Here is an 18960-nt window from a genome sequence, read left to right on the forward strand (position 1 = left end):
AACAGAGTAAGACTCAATCTCGAAAAAAAAAAAAAAAAAGCCAGGCCCAGTGGCTCAGGCCTATAGTCCCAGCACTTTGGGAGACCAAGGCAGGCGGATCACTTGAGGTCAGGAGTTCAAGACCAGCCTGGCCAATATGGTGAAACCCTATCTCTACTAAAAATAAAAAATTAGCCAGGCGTGGTGGCAGGTGCCTGTGATCCCAACTACTCGGGAGGCTGAGGCACGAGAATAGCTTGAACCCAGGAGGTAGAGGTTGCAGTGAGCTGAGATCGTGCCACTGCACTCCAGCCTGGGTGACAGAGCTAGACTCCATCTCAATAAAAATAAAAATATTTCACTTGAACATATGTATTGAATATTTTAAAACATGTCAGAAGTGTCCTGTTAAGCTCCAGCATTGGTCCCATAACTTCTTGAGGGGATCTCTGAATTCATAGCAGTTCCCCTTGCCATTGGCAGTGAATGACATTTCTGTTCAGCACTCAGGATTTATTCTTCCATTAGTTTGGAATGGAAGTTTTGACCAAAAGAGAGCAGAAAATACCTGTTCTCTTTTGTATAGTAGAAAGGAGATCATTTTAAATGCATTCTTATAAAATGAAGAAATTGCTTTTTTCTTTAATGTTCTTCAAATATATTTATATTATTTAGTTTGGATCAACTTCTAGTCTCAGCGGGGGACCAGCAAAGATTACAGTCTGTTTTATCGTCAGTGGGATCGAAATCTACCATCCTAACTCTCATTCAGGAAGCGAAAGCACAATCAGAGGTGAGTGAAACACAGAAAGCTCAGGAACATGAATTGCGGCCGCGTGAGTGCCCAGGTATGTGCTGCCTGCCCAGACAGCCGAGGAGAGCCCGCCCCGAGTCCTGGAGAGGGAGGACTGCCTTGGGTTGCGAGTTTCACAGCTCAGTCTGACTTTGGCCTCACGTGCTGCTAGCCAGCTTCAGAAGCTAGACCTTGTCTTGAATGTTCAGGTGCCAGATGGGTGTCACTGCTGTTTTCATCCCCCAAGTAGCAACTAGTTACCATTCTCCTAACTCCTATGTGTGGAGTTTGTTTGCAGAGAGTCCTCAAAGCAGAGCTAGTCATCTCGGAAATACCTCTCGCCACCTAACTGTGGACATAAACTAGTCAAGGGAGCCACCTGCTGGTGAGAGAAGAGTTACATTGGTGTAGTCCCGCCGTTGCCCTGAAATATGGTGGACCCCTGAACAACATGAGGGTTGGGGCACTGACCTTCGAGCAGTGGAAAATCCACATATAACTTTTAACTCTCCCAAAAACTTAACTACTAACAACCTACTGTTGACCGGAAACCTTACTGATAACATAAACAGTCAATTAACACAAGTTTTGTCAGTTATATGTATTATATACTGTCTTCTTACAACAACGTAAGTTAGAGATAATAGAACGTTATTAAGAAAATCCTAAGAGGCCAGGTGCAGTGGCTTACACCTGTAATCTCAGAACTTTGGGAGGCCAAGGCGGGCAGATCACTTGAGGTCAGGAGTTCAAGACCAGCCTGGCCAATATGGTGAAACCCTGTCTCTACTAAAAATACAAAAATTAGCTGGACATGGTGGTGGGTGCCTGTAGTCTCAGCGACTCAGGAGGCTAAGGCGAGAGGATTGCTTGAACTTAGGAGGCAGAGGTTGACATGAGCTAAGATTGCACCACTGCATTCCAGCCTGGGTGACAGAGCAAGACTTCATCTCAATTAAAAAAAAAAAGTCATAAGAGAAAGTGTATTTACTATTCATTAAGTGGAAGTGGTTCATCATAAAGGGCTTCATCCTTGTCATCTTCACACTGAGTAGCCTGAGAAGGAGGGAGGGGTTGGTCTTGCTGCCTCAAGGATAAAGAGGCTGAAGAAACCCTGAGTGTGAGTGGACCTGTACAGTTTGAGCCTGTGTTGTTCAAATGTCACCTGTAGAAGAGCATCTGAACCCTGGAGTACAAGGAATTACAAATAAAATCTTTCAGTAAATCAGTTGTGACAATAAACATTGACAGAAGAAACCACAGGTTCACATCTAGGATACTAATCTGAAGATCAATTTCTTGGGGCTATACGTAGAGATTTGAACCCTAATGAATGAATATTTTCTATTTAGAGAAATAAATATGAATGTTTCTTTAGTGGTAGTATACCTGGGTCACTGAAGTCATCTAAGAATGCTGTTCCAGAAATTCAAATATAGAGGGGCTGTGTGGTTTCTCAGCCAACAGCCAGCCTTGGCACCTAGTAAGGAGTTGGCCAGGAGGCGAGGAGAGAGGTTGGAATAAAGGAGACCAGTCCCTTCAGGTTCCACTCCCTTCTGATTCTCAGCCGCTGATTTGGGTCTGTGCAGTTAAGACATGCCTTGACAGGAGGATCATCTGAGGCCAGGAGTTCGAGACCAGCCTCATCAACATAGTGAGACCCCTCATCTCTCAAAAAAAAAAAAAAAAGATTAAATTTAAAAAATTAGCCAGGCGTGGTGGTATATGCCTGTAGTCCTACCTACATGGGAATCTGAAGCAGGAGAATCACTTGGGTCCAGTAGTTTGAGGCTCAGTGAGCTATGATCGTGCCAGCGCACTCCAGCCTGGGTGACAGAGCAAGACCCTGTCTCTGAAAGAAAAACAAAATGTCTTGAGATGCTAAGCACTTCCGCTTTCAGTAAAAGGGAATAGCCCCTCATCTCTCTTCCTCCTCCCACTTGTTATTACAATAAGGAAGGATTTCATGTGTGAAAGTCTCATTCTGAGACCACCAGTCAAGGGGGCACAGGTGGGGTCACACGTTGCCAGGCCCCCTTTACCCCAGACATTTTAGTGTTAGATGAAATGTCAGAGGAGAAGACCAGACTGTCCAGCCAACCACAAGCAAGATGTACATCTTCAGGAACCTCAAACAAAGTATGGCCAGCATGCCACAGTGCTGCCCGAGGGTGGCTTATTCTAGGGCCTTCCTCACCCCCTACTACTCACGCTCACCACGAGGCAGGGTTGTGGTTTGGTTTGAAGATCATTCCTACATATCAGAACACGGCGTTCTTTTCCCTTTATTTTCTCACTGTCTTCAGAGAGGAGCGTTGAGCAGGGCTATCCTTACTCTGCCATCCTCAGTCTAGAAGCTTCCTGCCTTGCTTTTTCCAATGAGTATGGTTTGCAGGTACTAAAAATAGAACTGCACAAAACTATTTTCTGTGTCCTTGGCAGTGCTGTGAGAGATTCGAGGCTTCGAGGCTGAAAACAAACCCTGGCCTCCTGACTTCAACACACCCAAACCTTGGAGAGCTCTTGATGGTTGATCTGGCCGCCCTGAGACTGTGCTGAGGCTCTCAGAGGCAAAATTTGGCGCAATAGTCAGCTTCTAGCATATCTGTGTCCTTAAACACCACTGGAAAAAAATGTGAATACATTGAAATTTTTGTGATTTAACTTGTCCTGGAATGCAGGAGGGCCTCATTTTCTTTTTTTTTTTCCTTCTCCTTTTTTTTTTTCTTTTCTTGAGATGGAGTCTCGCTCTGTTGCCCAGGCTGGAGTGCAGTGGCGTGATCTCGGCTCACTGCAAGCTCCACCTCCTGGGTTCACGCCATTCTCCTGCCTCAGCCTCCCGAGTAGCTGGGACTACTGGTGCCCGCCACCATGCCCGGCTTTTTTTTTTTTTTTTTTTTAGTAGAGACGGGGTTTCACCGTGTTAGCCAGGATGGGCTCCATCTCCTGACCATGTGAACCACCTGCCTCCGCCTCCCAAAGTGCTGGGATTACAGGCGTGAGCCACCGCACCCGGCGTAGGAGGCCTCATTTTCAAATATTGTCTCTTTGCTCCCATAAGACATTGAAATATCTGAGAAGTGTTCCTATTTTCAGCACCACATTACCTCCTAGAAGCTGGACAAAGACCATTTACTGGGTCCCGTATTCCCATTTTTGTTTGGAAAGCTTAGTCAACCTCTTTCTCCCCATCAATCCGTGTGTGAGCATACATATGGTTGAAGGTGCCCATGAAGTCAACCTCCCAACTCCCCCAAAAGTTCTGCGGGACAGTCTAGGTTTTGGTTTGAGTGAACTTTGGGGGTTTTTTGAGACAGAGCCTCACTCCATCACCCAGGCTGGAGTGCAACTGGCATGATCTCCACTCACTGCAACCTCTGCCCGCTGGGTTCAAGCGATTCTCCTGCCTCAGCCTCCCAAGTAGCTGGAATTACAGGTGTCCGCCACCACGCCCGGCTAATTTTTGTATTTTTCAGTAGAGACGGGGTTTCGCCATGTTGACTAGGCTGGTCTCGAACTCCTGACCTCAGGTGATCCGCCCGCCTTGGCCTCCCAAAGCACTGGGATTACAGGCGTGAGCCACTGCGCCTAGCCATGCTATTTTTTTGGCATCAGTTAATTAATTGTACCTGAAATCCAATGATGGGGAGGGAGATGTAGAAAACATGGCCTTGATATGCTCTTATCCTGCCTCTTGCCACTGACGCTTATCTTTCTGCTGTTGCTAGGACTGGCTTTGCTAAATTGTAGACTTAAAGAATTACAGAATAAAGGATTCCCATCATGATCAAATTATGTACTATGATTTTTTTTTTTTTTTTTTTTTTTTGAGACAAGGTCTCACTCTGTCAACCAGGCTGAAGTGCAGTGGCGTGATCATGGCTCACTGCAGCCGTGACCTTCCGGGCTTAGGTAATCCTCCCACCTCAGCCTCTTGAGTAGCTGGGACTACAAGTGTGCAACACCACACCTGGCTGATTTTTGTAGAGACAGGGTTTTGCCACATTGCCCAGGCTGGACTCGAACTCTTGGGCTCAAGAGATCCGCCCCCTTGGCTTCCCAGAGTGTTGGGATTACAGGCGTGAGCCACCATGCCTGGCTGAGAGCCAAAGAACCTTTAGGGCCTGTGGTGAAAAGCCCCTCCAAGAGGACTGACATCAGAGCTTCCTTACTCCTGGCCCAAGGGGATATGTTTTTCTTTCTTAATTTTTTGCAGCTGTAGCTCAAAGGATAATTTTTGTTTGTTTTCACTAGAATGAAGAAGATGTTTGCTTCATAGTCTTGAATAGAAAAGAAGGCTCAGGTCTGGGATTCAGTGTGGCAGGAGGGACAGATGTGGAGCCAAAATCAATCACGGTAAGTGACAGAGTCATTAGGCTCTCAGGAAAATCCCCCCTCAAGCAGCCTCAGAATGTGATCAGGGCACAAATTCCAATCAGCGGGTTCAGAGATTGCTGGATTTCATTCCCAGCTACCAACATAAAAAGGGAGAAGTGGGAGAAGTAGTACGTAAGGTTTTCGTTGACAAAAGACAAGCATTTTTAACACAGAGCTGACATGTATAGGCCATTTCCAATCCCTATAAACACAATTCGCTATAGCCTTATAATTTACCTCCATATTTTAAGCAGTAGAAAACATTAGAATCAACTGGCCAAACTTGTGTTTATACAATTACTCCCGTCTCAAAAAGTCACTCAAAATTTTACATCATTCAAAAGCCTTCAGGACCATCCAGAGGGTCACCTTCACTGCACGAGCCCAGGCCTCATTCATCTTCGTATTCCCATTGCCTCCTGGATGCCAGGCCCATGTCAGACACTAAAAAGGAGTTAAAAAAAAATGTGTGGAGACACTGGCATTGACATTTGTGTTCCATCCCCCGCACTGAATGTATGTTTTTTTTTATAAAGCAAGTGTCTACCTTAGAAAGTTCCTTTACTACAAGACCCGGCACGGTGGCTCACGCCTGTAATCCCAGCACTTTGGGAGGTCGAGGCGGGTGGATCACCTGAGGTCAGGAGTTTGAGACCAGCATGGCCAACATGGTGAAACCCTGTCCGTCTCTCCTAACAATACAAAAATTAACTTGGCATAGTGGTGTGTGCCTATAATCCCAGCTACTCAGGAGGCTGAGGCAGGAGAATCGCTTGAACCCGGGAGGCTGAGATTGCACCACTGTACTCCAGCCTGGGTGACACAGCGAGACTCCCTCTCAAAAAATAAAAATAAAAAAGGAAGGTTCCTTTACTACAGATACGCAGTTAGTTACTATCTCCCTTTTACCGGAAATCGTAAGTGGATCTGGTTTTTGTTCCCTTTTCCTTTCCTCATCCCAGGTCCACAGGGTGTTTTCTCAGGGGGCGGCTTCTCAGGAAGGGACTATGAACCGAGGGGATTTCCTTCTGTCAGTCAACGGCGCCTCACTGGCTGGCTTAGCCCACGGGAATGTCCTGAAGGTTCTGCACCAGGCACAGCTGCACAAAGATGCCCTCGTGGTCATCAAGAAAGGGATGGATCAGCCCAGGCCCTCTGCCCGGCAGGAGCCTCCCACAGCCAATGGGAAGGGTTTGCTGTCCAGAAAGACCATCCCCCTGGAGCCTGGCATTGGTAAGATGATCATTTCAACAACCAGCAGGCTGTGAGCTACTGCAGAAAGAGGAGATTCTGGTTGAACATGAAGGAAAATAACAGCTAACTAACTTCTAGATCTGAAAAATTAAATGTAGCGAAGTCTAGTGTGTTTGGATGCTGCTTACAAAAGCAGTGTTACAAATAAATTAGAAAAAAATTAGAAAATTAGAAAAATCCCCCCAGTAGTTCAAGCTGTACTGTGGAAGATTTAAAATGACTGCAGAACAGTTTCCCTAAGTGTCCTAAGAAGGAATCTCTTACATTCACAGCCTCTTGTTAGGACTGGTAAGGAAAACAGGAAACTACGTGACGGGGCGAGCAGTGTTGAAGGAGAAATTCCAGAACTAAGATTTATCCTTGGGAAACAGCAAGGTTGTATTCTTTCCTGGTTTAGAAGAAAAGAAGGAAATGAGGGGGCAAGAGTATTTTGTGTCTGAAAACAGAAATTGCAGCCTTAGTCAACCAAGAAGAACTCACTGGAAGAGGTTTAGAAACAGATTTTCTACGTTCCGTCCATATTCAGAGCCTCAGAACCACGTGCAGCGTCTGTTTCTGCAGTGCGAGCTGTTTAATGCCCTGTTAAGTACTGCAGATGTCTGGAGTGCCGTGCATCTTGGCATTCAGGGGTGACGTCTTTTTTTATTCGAGAGGGCAAAGCAGAGGGTATGGGTTAGGCAGTGCCTTCTGGGAGGGGCCTTTTGTTCCTTCTCCACATCTCTCCCTGATAAGGGTAGCTGGATTCCTTTCTACAACTTGGCTTCCTTGTGGCCTGAGCTGTTTGTAGTCCTTGCTGAAAATGGCTCCGATTCCATTTAACAAATGAGAAACACTTCTTGTCCAGATGCCTCCATGGTCCCCAGTCTTCCTTCTGTGTCATTTCACTTTCCCTCTTCCAGAGGGCTGAGGCCCTCCTCAATACAGGGAAACACCTTGGTCATCAGATCTTGTCATGCTTGCCTTTGCCCCAAAACTGTCTCGACCACTTGGTGGACTTTCAGTGGGATCCTTGTAAACTGTCAAAGGAAACCACTTCATCCTCACAGCTGCCAGTTTTTAAGCCTCGTGAACTCAGATCTGGATGGTCCTTCTGTCATTTATAATCAATCACTCAGTATTCCTGCAGCAACTTCAGGGCCTCTGGTCTTGAAGCAGACCCTGCAGAGCAATCAATCAAACGCTGAGCGCCTGGAGGGCTTAACCTCGCTCAGTTTCCTGTTCTTCAGTCTCCCTAACCCAGGTCTACCCGGTCCTATGCAGTTATATTCCTTACCATACACTGACAGCGTCCAGCTGGGGGCCCGGTGCAGTAAGCTGCACAGTAGAGATGCTGGGACGCTTTTAAATTCCTGATGCCCAGGAAATTCCCAGCTTAATTAAATCAGAAATGCCGCAGTGGGGGCCAGACACCGTTTCACGTTCCCAGGTGACTCCAGTATGCAGCCAGACTCGAGCCACTGCAATAGACCCATTTTCCTGTTGAAAAATCATGCTCCCCCCAGTGTTAGTAAATGTCCTTCAGACCCTGTGGAGTGGCCTTCTTTAAACCACGACAATGGACTGGCCTTTATGTCCAAAGGAGACAATGCTAGCTTGGCTTCAGCCCTAGTGAACAGTGAACAGAGGAAGCAGGCAGTTTAATCCATCCGTGGTCCTTCCTCTGCCTCCCAATTAACTAAGTGTGCCTTTGCAGTCAACTCTGACGTCCTTGGCTGGTAGGCAGGCAAGGGAGGGAAGTACAAGGCAAGTTTACAATCCTGATTCAAACCAGCCCACTATCCCGAAACCAGCACACAGAGCCGGCATCACCATGGAAACACATTTCCTCACAGTGGAGCAAGATGCCAGTAGAGGCAGCGAGTGTGTTTGTGAAGACAGCCATAGCCAGGGGCAGGGTTTCCCTTTGCAGGAGCAGGAGTGGCAGGAGCGGGGAGGCAGGAAGCTCTCTGGGTTCCTGGGGGCTTTGGAGTCCATTCTAACAGTCTCACATGAGACTGGGCATTTTGGTGCTGCCAAGTCTTGGTACCAGAGGATGATCTGCTGCTGCCATTAGCAGCCAGGGTTGGCAGAAAATCAAATTTGGAGTCCCCAAGTGTGACTTCAGTCCTCACTGAGAAGTGCACAGCCGGTGTGGGGGGCTTAACAAGAGCACTTTGCTTTCTGGGGATTTCTGCTTGGGCATAAAAGCATTTGCCAATGCTTGCAGAAAACACAGAACAAAGGATGCAAGTACAGCAGCAACACAGCCAGGAGGGCAGCCCCAGAATTGGGAGGCCAACAGTGCTACTGGGCTCAAGTGCTGTTATAAGTAAGTAAGTGCCCCAGGGTAGATGGGACTTGAGTGTGCCAGAAGTACATGGGGCTGGAGGCGATGCATCCTGGGGGACTTGGACATGTGGCATGATGAACAACCCTGTCATTTTCATCTTGGTGCACGCTGCGGCTGCAGGGAGAAGTGTGGCTGTACACGATGCTCTGTGTGTTGAAGTGCTGAAGACCTCGGCTGGGCTGGGACTGAGTCTGGATGGGGGAAAATCATCGGTGACGGGAGATGGGCCCTTGGTCATTAAAAGAGTGTACAAAGGTAATGTTCTAGACAACTCAGTCAGCCTTCTCTCACCTGTCATTTTTCCATGGATGTCTCAATGAAAAAAATGCCTTCCATTTAGAAATCAAAAAACCTAAACTGTTTTTAATGCTTTGTGACATACAAGGTTTATTCTGTATGGACATGTATTAACTCATGCCATCCACGTGGCAACTCTATTGGGTGGGTGTCATCATTATCCCTATTTTACAAAAGGAGAAACTGAGGCACGTAGGGTCACACAGCTGTAAGTGGCAGAACCAGGCTCCAGCCCAGGCAGTCTGGCCCCAGAGCATCTGTCCCTGACCCCTGTACTGCAGCAGTTCCTTACTCCGGGCCCCTCTCTCTGATGTGAACACACCACACTAAGTAACATCACTAGACTTGCCAGTCAGGAGTACTTAATACTGGCCAAGATCTCATTGACTTAAAATACTACACTTGTAAATGCTAGACTGCAAGAAAGGAATACAGTCCAAGCATAGCCTTTGTGGGAAAAAAAAGATGGGGGATAGATATTATTGAAATGCTTGGTAAATATCCATCTCTTTATCAACTTGCATAATTCATTTTTTGGTCTTGGGCGGTTTTTCAAAATCTTATATTAACTCATAATTGTACTAATAATATTAACAGTATAATTGTATGAACAATATTGATATGTAATTATACTTGCAAATAGATCAGAAACCCATTTAAAGTTACAGTATGTAACAGAGTAAGTAGGTCAGCAAATAACAAGGTCAATTCTTCTTAGCTAAGGATTGTTGTTTCTTTAAATGACCATCTAGTTAATGACCTTGAGATATTTCTACAATTGCATAGTAATCCCAAAACCTCTCTCCACTCTTGACCTATAGTGTTAATAGGAAAAAATACTTTTAAAAATGTATAGTTACACTTAAAAAAAAACCCCTCTATGGATCAAAAGTGGAAATGAAGCCTCTGTGGTAAGCAGCGCTGCATCCTTGGGGCCCAGAGGAAGCGGAGGATGACAGAGAAATGTGCACTGCAGGCTGGGGCCCACCCAGGAGCAGGGGCGCTGCAGACTCAGTGCCCACCCAGGAGCAGGGGCTCAGCACCCCTGTGGGCAGCCAGAGCGAAGCATCTCGTGATGCAGAGGCCTGGGACCTGCTCTTTTGCCAGTAAACTGTGGTCACAACAGGTCTGCGTTACTCGAGTGGCAGCCAGGATAGGCTGCCTGCTCCCAACGCCCGGAGCAAGCAGAAGACAGGCATAAATCAGGAGTCAGGTCTCTGTTATGTGTGAACCTATGGTACCAGGGTGAAGAGAAAACCTCAGACTCATCAAGTTAACTGTTCAAGTTGACAGAGCAGCAGAAGGAGGAGAACTAGGCTCAGGCAAGCATGTGGCAACTCGACTATAAGAGCCCTCACAACAGAAAGCTCTCAGACGAAGGGTACAGGGCAACATCCATTGCCAGCAGACCCGAAAAACAGGACACCCCATTCATGACAGAGGCAGGAATGTTACCCATGAAACAGGACCGAAGAGGGTATTCAGAAGGAGCAAGCAAATATGTAAAAAAAACAAAATGCAAGCTGGGTGTGGTAGCGCATGCCTGTAGTCTCAGCTCCTTGCACTGCTTGAGCCCCAGGAGTTCAATACCAGCCTCAACAGCAGAGCAAGACCCTGCTTCTTTAAAAGTAAAAACTAAATGCACATACACCCTCATTAGTGAAAATGGAGTTAAATGTATTTTTAAATTAATGAGTAAAAGTAAAAAATAGACTAAATCCATGTGAAGATAGATAGAATTTGTAAAAACAGAACAGAAGAAACCATTAAAAAATGCAGTATAGGGAAATAAAGAGATGACTACAAAAAGGTAATGAAAGAGTTCCAGAAGGAAAAAACAGAATGAGAGGAAATATTTGCAGAAATCATGACTAAGAATTTTCCAGAAGTGAAAAAATGACAGGACTATGCAGACTGAAAAACTCATCAAGGGGCAAAACAATCTGAATGTATTTATTTAAAACAAACAAACAAACAAAAAACAAGCCTTGTTAGGCAGAGTGGTGCACACCTGTGATCCCAGCTACTTAGGAGGCTGAGGCAGAAGGATCGCTTCAGCCCTGGACTTGGAGGCTGCAGTGAGCAGGACTGCACCATTGCACTCCAGCCTGGATGACAGAGTAGGACCCTGTCTCCAAAAAAAATAAAATTCAAACCTTGATATAATAAAGTTTCAGAATATAAAGAAGAAAATCTAGAAAGCCAAGAGAAAATTCTAGTTTGCTCACTGCATACAACAATCAGAGTGGCGGCATCAATGCCTGAAGCCAGCAACACCTTCAGAGGACTGAGGGAAAATGTCCATCACCTGAAAACCCAGCACCCAGCTAACCTGTCATTCAATAGGGTAGCTAAAATGGAGGTATTTTAAGACACTCCTGAGGGGAGCGGGAGTGGCCGCCTTCGTGGTTGGTCACAGGACACGTAGCCTCTGCAGTCCAAAGGGACACAACCCAAAAAAGCGTGTGAGCCTGCGAACCGAAGGACCAGGGCAGACGCTGACTAAAGCAGCACATCGGCTGGGGAAGCCAGGCTTCGGGACCCCACACTAGAAGAAGCCACAGGAGAGATGACATCCTTCAGATCTGCCTCCAGCAAAGCAAGAATATGACGTCCTGGACAACTTCTCAGCCTTTGTCTCTAGCATCTGGCCACAAATCTGTGAAAACTGCTATGGAAATGGATAGAGAAGAAGAAAATTGTCAGTCCCACAGACTAGCGCTTTAGATGCTCTCGTGTGCAAGCCTGTGGTTTTGTTCTTGGGGAAAGCCATTCAAGTATTTCTGAGTATGATACGGCAGATCCCACCTTTGGAAACTAGTGAGACTAAAGATGTCATTATCTGGCCGGGCATGGTGGCTCATGCTTGTAATCCCGGCACTTTGGGAGGCTAAGGCAGGCGAATCACTTGAGGTCAGGATTCACCTTATCTCGTATTTCATATTTACAAATTTCATGAGTACAGGTTTTCTGTTCATTTTGTTTTCCTGTGTCTTTAAGCTCAAGCATTAGAAAACAATATAGCAAGACTGATTTCTTTGAGTAAGGTTATTACAGAACAAGCATTTGAATAATAAAGAATTTTTTTTTTTTTAACAGGGTCTAGCTCTGTCACCCAGGCTGGAGTGCAGTGTCACAATCTCTGCTCACTGCAATCTCTGCCTCCCAGGTTCAAGTGAATCTGGTGTCTCAGCCTCCTAAGCAGCCCAAGGTGGGTGGACCACCTGAGGTCAGGAGTTAGAGACCAGCCTGGCCAACATGGTGAAACCCCGTCTCTACTAAAAATATGTTAGCTGGGCATTGTGGTGCATGCCTGTAATCCCAGCTACTCAGGAGGCTGAGGCAGGAGAGTCACTTGAACCCAGGAGGCGGAGGTTGCAGTGAGCCAGGACCACACCACTGCACTCCAGCCTGGGGTCAGAGAAGGCTCCATCTAAAAAAAAAAAAAAAAAAAAAAAAAAAAAACATATAAAATGTTCATTATATGGCAAAATTTATAAGCAAATTCAAAAGTAAGTGATTAGAAGATATTTACAATATATTTAATAAACAAAGGGTTGATATCCAGAATAGGCAGGGTACCGTGGCTCACACCTGTAATCCCAGCACTTTGGAGACCAAGGTGGGCAGATCACTTGAGCCCAGGAGTTCAAGACCGGTCTGGGCCACATGACGAGACTCCACCTCTACAAAAAATACAGAAATTACTCGGGTGTGGCGGCACGCACCTATAGTCCCAGCTACTCAGGAGCTGAGGTGGGAGAATCATTTGAGCCCAGGAGGTCGAGGCTGTGGTGAGCCATGGTTGTGCCACAGCACTCCAGCCTGGGTGACAGAGGGAGACCTTGTCTCAAAAAAAAACAATCAATCAATCAATCAATCAATCCAGAATATATGAAGAACTATATAATTCAGTAAGAAAAATACAAGAGAGAAAGTTTGGGTAAAGAAAGCAATAGCAAATGGACAGAAGTTAAAACCTAGGTGGCCAAGAAACACAGGAAGATGCTCAAACTTAAATGTATTGGATGAAAATTAGAAATATTATAAATCATTCTTTTAATCTATCAAGTTGGCCAAAAATAAAAAATCTCATACTATGATGTGTTGGCAAGGATGTGGAGAAAGGAAAACACATTTTTTTTCTCGTGCAAGTATCTACTGGTTAATCTTTAAGGAAAATTTTAGCAGTGCTTACGAAAATGGAAGCTATGAAACAATTTAAATTTCTATCTGTAGCAGAATAAAATATATTCATCTAAAGGAAAGCTAAATAGCAGTTGAAAAAATAAATTACACCTCTCTCTATATACTAACTGGGACCGGCTCAAAAACAGTGTTGAATGAAAAAAAGCCAAATGCAGATTGTGCACTGTGTGACACCAATTCATGGTAAGCATAAGGAACCTAAGAATGTGTTCAACAAAAGCTATGCAAGACCTTTTTGGGAAAAAGCATAAAAGCTTTCTAAAGGACAATTTTAAAAAATCTATGAGTAAATGGAGAGAGAGACATATCCTGCTCAAATCTGTTAAGATTCAGTTTGGCCTCATGTAATAGGAAATCCAAAATAGCAGTGGTTTAAACGAGAGAATTTATTTCTCTCTTGTGTAAAAAGTCCAAAAGCTGGCAAACCTCTGCTTTGTACAACACTGAATGTTTCCTAAAGGAGCAGTCCCCAAGCTTTTTGGCACCAGGGACTGGTTTTGTGGAAGACAATTTTTCCATGGTGAGGGTTTGGGTGGGGGATGGTTTCAGGATGATTCAGGTGCATTACATTTATTGTATACTTTATTTCTGTTATTACATTTTAATATATAATGAAATAATTATACAACTCACCATCACGTAGAATCTGTGGGAGCCCTGAGCTTGTTTTCTTGCAACCAGGCATCCCATCTGGGGGTGATGGGAGACAATGACAGATCATCAGGCATTAGATTCTCATAAGGAACATGCAACCTAGATCCCTCGCATATGCAGTTCACAATAGGGTTCACACTCACGTGAGAATCTAATGCTGCTGCTGATCTGACAGGAGGCAGAGCTCAGGTGGTAGTGTGAGTGACGGTGAGAGGCTGTGAACAGAGGAAGCTTTGCTCACTCACCCACTGCTCACCTGCTGTGCAGCCCTCCTGCCACCAGTCTGTGGCCCAAGGGTTGAGGACCCCTGTCCTAGAAGACTTTCCTCTACTTCATCTCATTCAGTCCTTCTAACAACCTAGTAAGATAACAAGACAGATATCATCATCACCATTTTGCAGATGAGAAAACTGGAGTTTGGAGAAATCTGTAACTTGCCTGAAGTCACAGATTTGAGACCAAACCCAGTCTGATTGCTCCTTCAGTGTGCGTCAGGCTGTTCTGGTTGCCTGGAACCTCCCATGTCCTGAAGCCCAGGTGAACACTCACAAAATTCTTTTGTTTCACATAACCTGAAGGCCTTCGGTTAATATGCTAGAATAGGACATTGGGTACTAAGTTAACACAAATATAATTGGTTCTTTGGTCCTTCCAAAAATGTATCTATCTCAAGAAAAGCAAGGACTAGGGACCAAATCATTTTCCTGGGGCCCACTACAGGGCTGATATTGGTGAGGTCTCTCTTCTAATGTAACTAACTGCCTCTATCATTTACCACAGAAAATGTTTTTGTCCTTGTGTGGGCTGGATTTCTTCCAAGCTGTATTTTTATCACATAATATTTATTTCAATAATTTCAATAACGACTTTCAGTAATTTAGGATGAAATCGATACATCTGCTCAGTCTTTTGAGGTCTAATCAAAATTTCTGAGAAAATTTTTTTCACACTTGGGACTTTTTCTTTCAATGCCATTTTTTTTCCATAAGATGCCTCCATAGCTGGTGTACCTTTAGAAGTATATGTGTGAGAACGTAAATGGAGGGTTTACACTTGCATTTTTTTCAAAGCTCATACAAAGCTAGACAAAGCTATAATGTGAACATGCTAAACTCTGTAAGTAAGTAGTCCCCATGGTCACTAATGAGCACATAATCACTGATTCTCAGAACTTGCATATATCAGCCAGAATCTGTTAACAATTAGAAGCTGACAGCCTGGGCAACATGGCAAGACCCCATCTCTACCAAAAATATAAAAAAAAAAGCTGTGCATGGTGGTGTATGCCTGTGGTAGCAGCTACTCTGAAGGCTGAGGTGAGAGGATCGCTTGAGCCCAGTGAGGCGGAGGCTGCAGCGAGCCAAAACTGTACCACTGCACTCCAGCCTGGGTGACAGTGTGAGGCCGTCTCAACAACAACAAAAAAAGTTGAACCTGCTTTTCTGTGTTTACTGGCTGTTTGGAGTTCAGCTGTTGATTTCCTTACCCCAACTTTATTTTGTGTTATTCTTGTTGACTTGTAGCTCTTTAGTCTGGATGTTAACCATTTGTTGATTAAATACATAGAGAGTATCTTCCCCTTGTCAGTTTATTTTTATCTTACAGATTATGTTTGGAGGGGCGGCAGGAGGGCTAGAGTTGCACTGTTTTCTGTAGACCAGTTTACTTTTATGGATATATGCTTTTTGTGTTCTAAGAAATATTTCTCTATTCAATAATATATTATTTAGATATTTTTATCACTTAAAAGTTTTTAGTTTACTTAGGATTTTTGAATACTATGAAACTGCCAAGCTATTAATTATTCTGTGTTTATTCTCGTAGGTGGTGCGGCTGAACAAGCTGGAATAATAGAAGCTGGAGATGAAATTCTTGCTATTAATGGGAAACCTCTGGTTGGGCTCATGCACTTTGATGCCTGGAATATTATGAAGTCTGTCCCAGAAGGACCTGTGCAGTTATTAATTAGAAAGCATAGGAATTCTTCATGAATTTTAACAAGAATCATTTTCTCAGTTCTCTTCTTTCTTTAGCAAATCAGAGTGACTTCTTTAAACCACAGGTTGTTGAAATGGCCAACACTGGTACAGACACGGACTATAAAAATCTCCAAGCTTGTGCTTACACATGAAGCCTGACTTAACTGTATGTGCAACAGCAATGAAATTAACTCCAGAAGCCTTCCACCTGCGTCACCCAGGCCGGGAGGGTTCCTTCGTTCCAGTGCCTGTCCCCTACCTTTATGTTATGTTTACTGATGGGGATACAAGATGTGACACACCCTTCTTTATTTGAAACAAACAAACATTTAGCTAGACCTTTGCTTCCTTCTTGCCAGCTCTCCCAACATACCCAATCCTGGTGATCAGGGAACTAAAAGTCTGAGGGGGACACAAATGTCACACCTAAGAGGACAATCAATCATTTTGTATGATTTTGTAAGTAAATGACAGAATGCTTTTAGGCACATTCAATGGAAGGAGGAGATGTAGGTCTGTATATGTTACCCTGAAAAGAGAATAAGACTTACTTAAAAAAATGAATTATGACCTGTTAGGCTGAGCTCAGGAATTGTCCAAAAAGGAAAAAGCAAAATAATTAATTGAGAGTATTTTTTAGTGAGTGTAATGTATAATGTACGTATGCAAAGTTCAACTCAATAGGTTATTGATCACCATGAAGTATTGATCATTTTCTATCTCAAAAGTGTAAGCCATAAGGCTGTTTTACAGAATAGCACTTCTGATAAGCTGTATTAAATAGCCATGAGCTTCACTGCTTAGAGGGAGCAGAAAGGTCAACATCTAAAAGCACCTTACAACTAGTTTTTGAACCTGTCTTGATAAGTGCTTGAATTCAAGACTGGTCAGTCCAAGAGCAGACAAAAATATCACAAGTCAGTCAGTCACTGGGTTTCCATTTCTGAATTTTATGCACTCCAACCATGAATTTAAACTAAATTTTTAGAAATCAAGTATCTTTCTAAGTGTCCTTGGATTTATAGACAATGTATGTACAATCCAAATAGAGGAGCTTAATGGAATCCTTTTAGGAGACTGGTTGGTTTTTTTCCCTCTTTCCCAACATGTTTAAGAAATGTAACATTCTAAGTATTGGATCTCTTTTCTTGACCTAGTATAATGACAACTGCAGTGACTTAAGTTTTTGCTGTTTTCGTTTTCCCGCTTTGCAATTTCCTCCTTTTGCCAAAAATGTTTTCCTACAGAAGACTGTCGTGACTCACGCTACTTGGGAAACTCACTCTGGCCACTCCTCCTCTGGTGGCATGAGCTGCTTCCCAGTAGCTATTCCGATTGGATATTCCGTTCGTCGTCACATAGCTGGCTTTTCTCTCCTCATGATGTACCTTATTTTCTTAGGTAAATAATTCCAAACTCTCATCGGGTCATAAAGAGGAGGAGAAACAGGGTGAGTCAAGGTAAAGGAGCAGAAATGTAGTTACAAGCCAGGTCGTCTTCAGTGGCACAAACCAACCCGTTGAGCCCTGACAACATGAGTGGAGAGTGCATTTGCCATACCTGTGTGCATGACACTAAGATTTTATGTTGGAGATACTTCTTTAAATAACCTACAGCTTGGGTCTATGGCTGTGACCCCCAGATTCATGGAGGGGCTTTAGCCATCAGCTTTGTACATCATCATTTTTCTGAATGACCAATCCCACTAAACATCTTTGAAGTCGGCCTAGAGAGGTCCTTCAGATGAGAGAGAAATAGCTGGCTTGTCTGAGTCCAGATTTCTCATCAACTGGCAATACAAAGGAAAATATGGTACAGGAGTTAGTTAGAAAGGTCTTATTGATTTTACTTCTACTTTTCACTACAGTTACAGGTAGAATACTGTAGGAAGTCAGTGCAAGGTGCATGCTTGATTGATAGATATTGATTGATTGTTTTTCAGTCTCTGGGGTCAGTTTTGTGGTTTCTGCTTTCTTGCCTAAATCAAAGACTATTTCAAGTCAACAACACTGAAAACTGCTTTTCGCCTCCACTCTTACAGCTGTGCCTAATAATAATTAATTAATAAACGCACAGCCCTATGTGAACAGACAGGAATTTCTTGTGCAATGTGGAGCAAATGGAATGGTCTCCTTCCGCAAGTCTTTTTAATCCTCATATCTGGAGTACAAGGGTAGACCTCTGGCTTACCACATACACTATGCTAAAGTCATCAGCCACTGCTACTACATCTTGCCAGAAGGTTTCCCTCGCCAACAAACAGTTGAAATTTAAGGGAAGAAGCAAAAGCTAAACTGTCTTTGACCCTAAGATAGATAGAAAGCTATTTATTTGTCTTCAGTGTTCAAGGCATGACTAGTATTTCTAATTAGCCTAATAAATTCCCACACTTTCTGAAGTGAACACTAATGGTATTGTCCTACTAAAACTGTCATTGTTTCTTTTTTTTTAACTGGTCAGTCATTCACAATAAGCTATGAGGGTAAATAAATATGTGTTATAACAAGTAAACCGTAGTTGCAAGAATATACCATGAAGATTAAAGTAGGCTGGGTTTCATTTCCATCTTCCCACACATCTCATTGAATTTGATGGTTGACTTAATTGGCACCATAACTTTGTATGATATTATACATTAACCTTTATTTATGTAAAGTAAAATGCCTTATATATTAAAGAGTAAGTGCAATAATATGAAATAGCCTGTACATTTTAAAAATGTTGTCACCAAGTTATATAAATCCACATCTCTGTAAACAACCTTTTTTAAGTAATTTTAAAAAAAATAAACACTCTGCTTACTACTTGATTTTTTTTTTCTCTTTTGGCTGTTTGTTTGTTAATAATAGAGTAATATTGAGATGAGAAATGTTTATTGTCACCTAAATGCATCAGAGGTACAAAGGCAATAGAACTCAAATTAGCCACCCTTTTCCAGGCCACACTCACAATCTTGACACAATCCAAAACTTTTCCACCTCTAAATCTTTCTTACAATTGAACATCCTACTCTTTTACCACACGCTCCCAGCCTCCTGGTCACTTCCTCCCACGTCTTCACTTTCAAAAAGCCCTTGACAGTTTTCTCC

General features: G+C 43.7%; 1 protein-coding gene and 1 long non-coding RNA gene across 11 annotated transcripts in view, besides 5 other annotated features; one reads left to right on the forward strand and one right to left on the reverse strand.

The window, feature by feature from the left end:
• PDZD2 (PDZ domain containing 2) overlaps positions 1 to 18680 on the forward strand; it is a 471802-nt gene extending 453122 nt beyond the window's left edge. For 7 of the 8 annotated variants that reach the window (XM_005248269.5, XM_011513992.3, XM_011513994.3 and 4 more), the window contains 6 exons: positions 655 to 772; positions 5027 to 5128; positions 6112 to 6382; positions 8610 to 8711; positions 8853 to 8987; positions 15717 to 18680. In XM_005248269.5, coding sequence (XP_005248326.1) covers positions 655 to 772; positions 5027 to 5128; positions 6112 to 6382; positions 8610 to 8711; positions 8853 to 8987; positions 15717 to 15883 — 895 coding nt within the window. In that variant the 3' untranslated portion in view covers positions 15884 to 18680. The remainder of the gene's footprint in view (positions 1 to 654; positions 773 to 5026; positions 5129 to 6111; positions 6383 to 8609; positions 8712 to 8852; positions 8988 to 15716) is intronic. The other variant, NM_178140.4, reaches the window with a different exon arrangement.
• Positions 377 to 878: an enhancer, noted in NCBI's record as "H3K4me1 hESC enhancer chr5:32092735-32093236 (GRCh37/hg19 assembly coordinates)". NCBI's record gives its function as "activates a minimal SCP1, AML or CMV promoter by ChIP-STARR-seq in naive H9 embryonic stem cells {active_cell/tissue: H9 hESC(naive)}" and the evidence as "EXISTENCE:reporter gene assay evidence [ECO:0000049][PMID:30033119]".
• Positions 405 to 574: an enhancer, noted in NCBI's record as "experimental_84522 CRE fragment used in MPRA reporter constructs". NCBI's record gives its function as "activates a minimal promoter by MPRAs in K562 erythroleukemia cells, with activity observed for both the introgressed and non-introgressed 5:32092848 variant alleles {active_cell/tissue: K562}" and the evidence as "EXISTENCE:reporter gene assay evidence [ECO:0000049][PMID:34662402]".
• Positions 879 to 1378: an enhancer, noted in NCBI's record as "H3K4me1 hESC enhancer chr5:32093237-32093736 (GRCh37/hg19 assembly coordinates)". NCBI's record gives its function as "activates a minimal SCP1, AML or CMV promoter by ChIP-STARR-seq in naive H9 embryonic stem cells {active_cell/tissue: H9 hESC(naive)}" and the evidence as "EXISTENCE:reporter gene assay evidence [ECO:0000049][PMID:30033119]".
• Positions 1027 to 1086: an enhancer, noted in NCBI's record as "active region_22437". NCBI's record gives its function as "activates an Ori minimal core promoter by ATAC-STARR-seq in GM12878 lymphoblastoid cells {active_cell/tissue: GM12878}" and the evidence as "EXISTENCE:reporter gene assay evidence [ECO:0000049][PMID:35858748]".
• Positions 1359 to 15939, reverse strand: LOC105374711 (uncharacterized). 3 transcript variants are annotated; one of them, XR_007058716.1, is made up of 4 exons: positions 14036 to 15939; positions 13872 to 13928; positions 6059 to 11700; positions 1359 to 5593 (listed from the first exon to the last, which is right to left on the reverse strand). It is a non-coding gene; the product is annotated as an uncharacterized LOC105374711 (long non-coding RNA). The 3 variants fall into 3 exon arrangements; XR_007058715.1 differs by having other exon boundaries at positions 6059 to 11697; positions 14036 to 15718; XR_925897.3 differs by lacking the exons at positions 13872 to 13928; positions 14036 to 15939 and having other exon boundaries at positions 6059 to 12463.
• Positions 5452 to 6651: an enhancer, noted in NCBI's record as "CDK7 strongly-dependent group 2 enhancer chr5:32097810-32099009 (GRCh37/hg19 assembly coordinates)". NCBI's record gives its function as "activates an origin of replication core promoter dependent on BRD2, BRD4, P300/CBP, MED14 and CDK7 cofactors, with strong dependence on CDK7, by STARR-seq in HCT116 cells {active_cell/tissue: HCT116}" and the evidence as "EXISTENCE:reporter gene assay evidence [ECO:0000049][PMID:35650434]".

Source organism: Homo sapiens, chromosome 5, assembly GCF_000001405.40.
Source record: "Homo sapiens chromosome 5, GRCh38.p14 Primary Assembly".
NCBI lineage: Eukaryota > Metazoa > Chordata > Mammalia > Primates > Hominidae > Homo > Homo sapiens.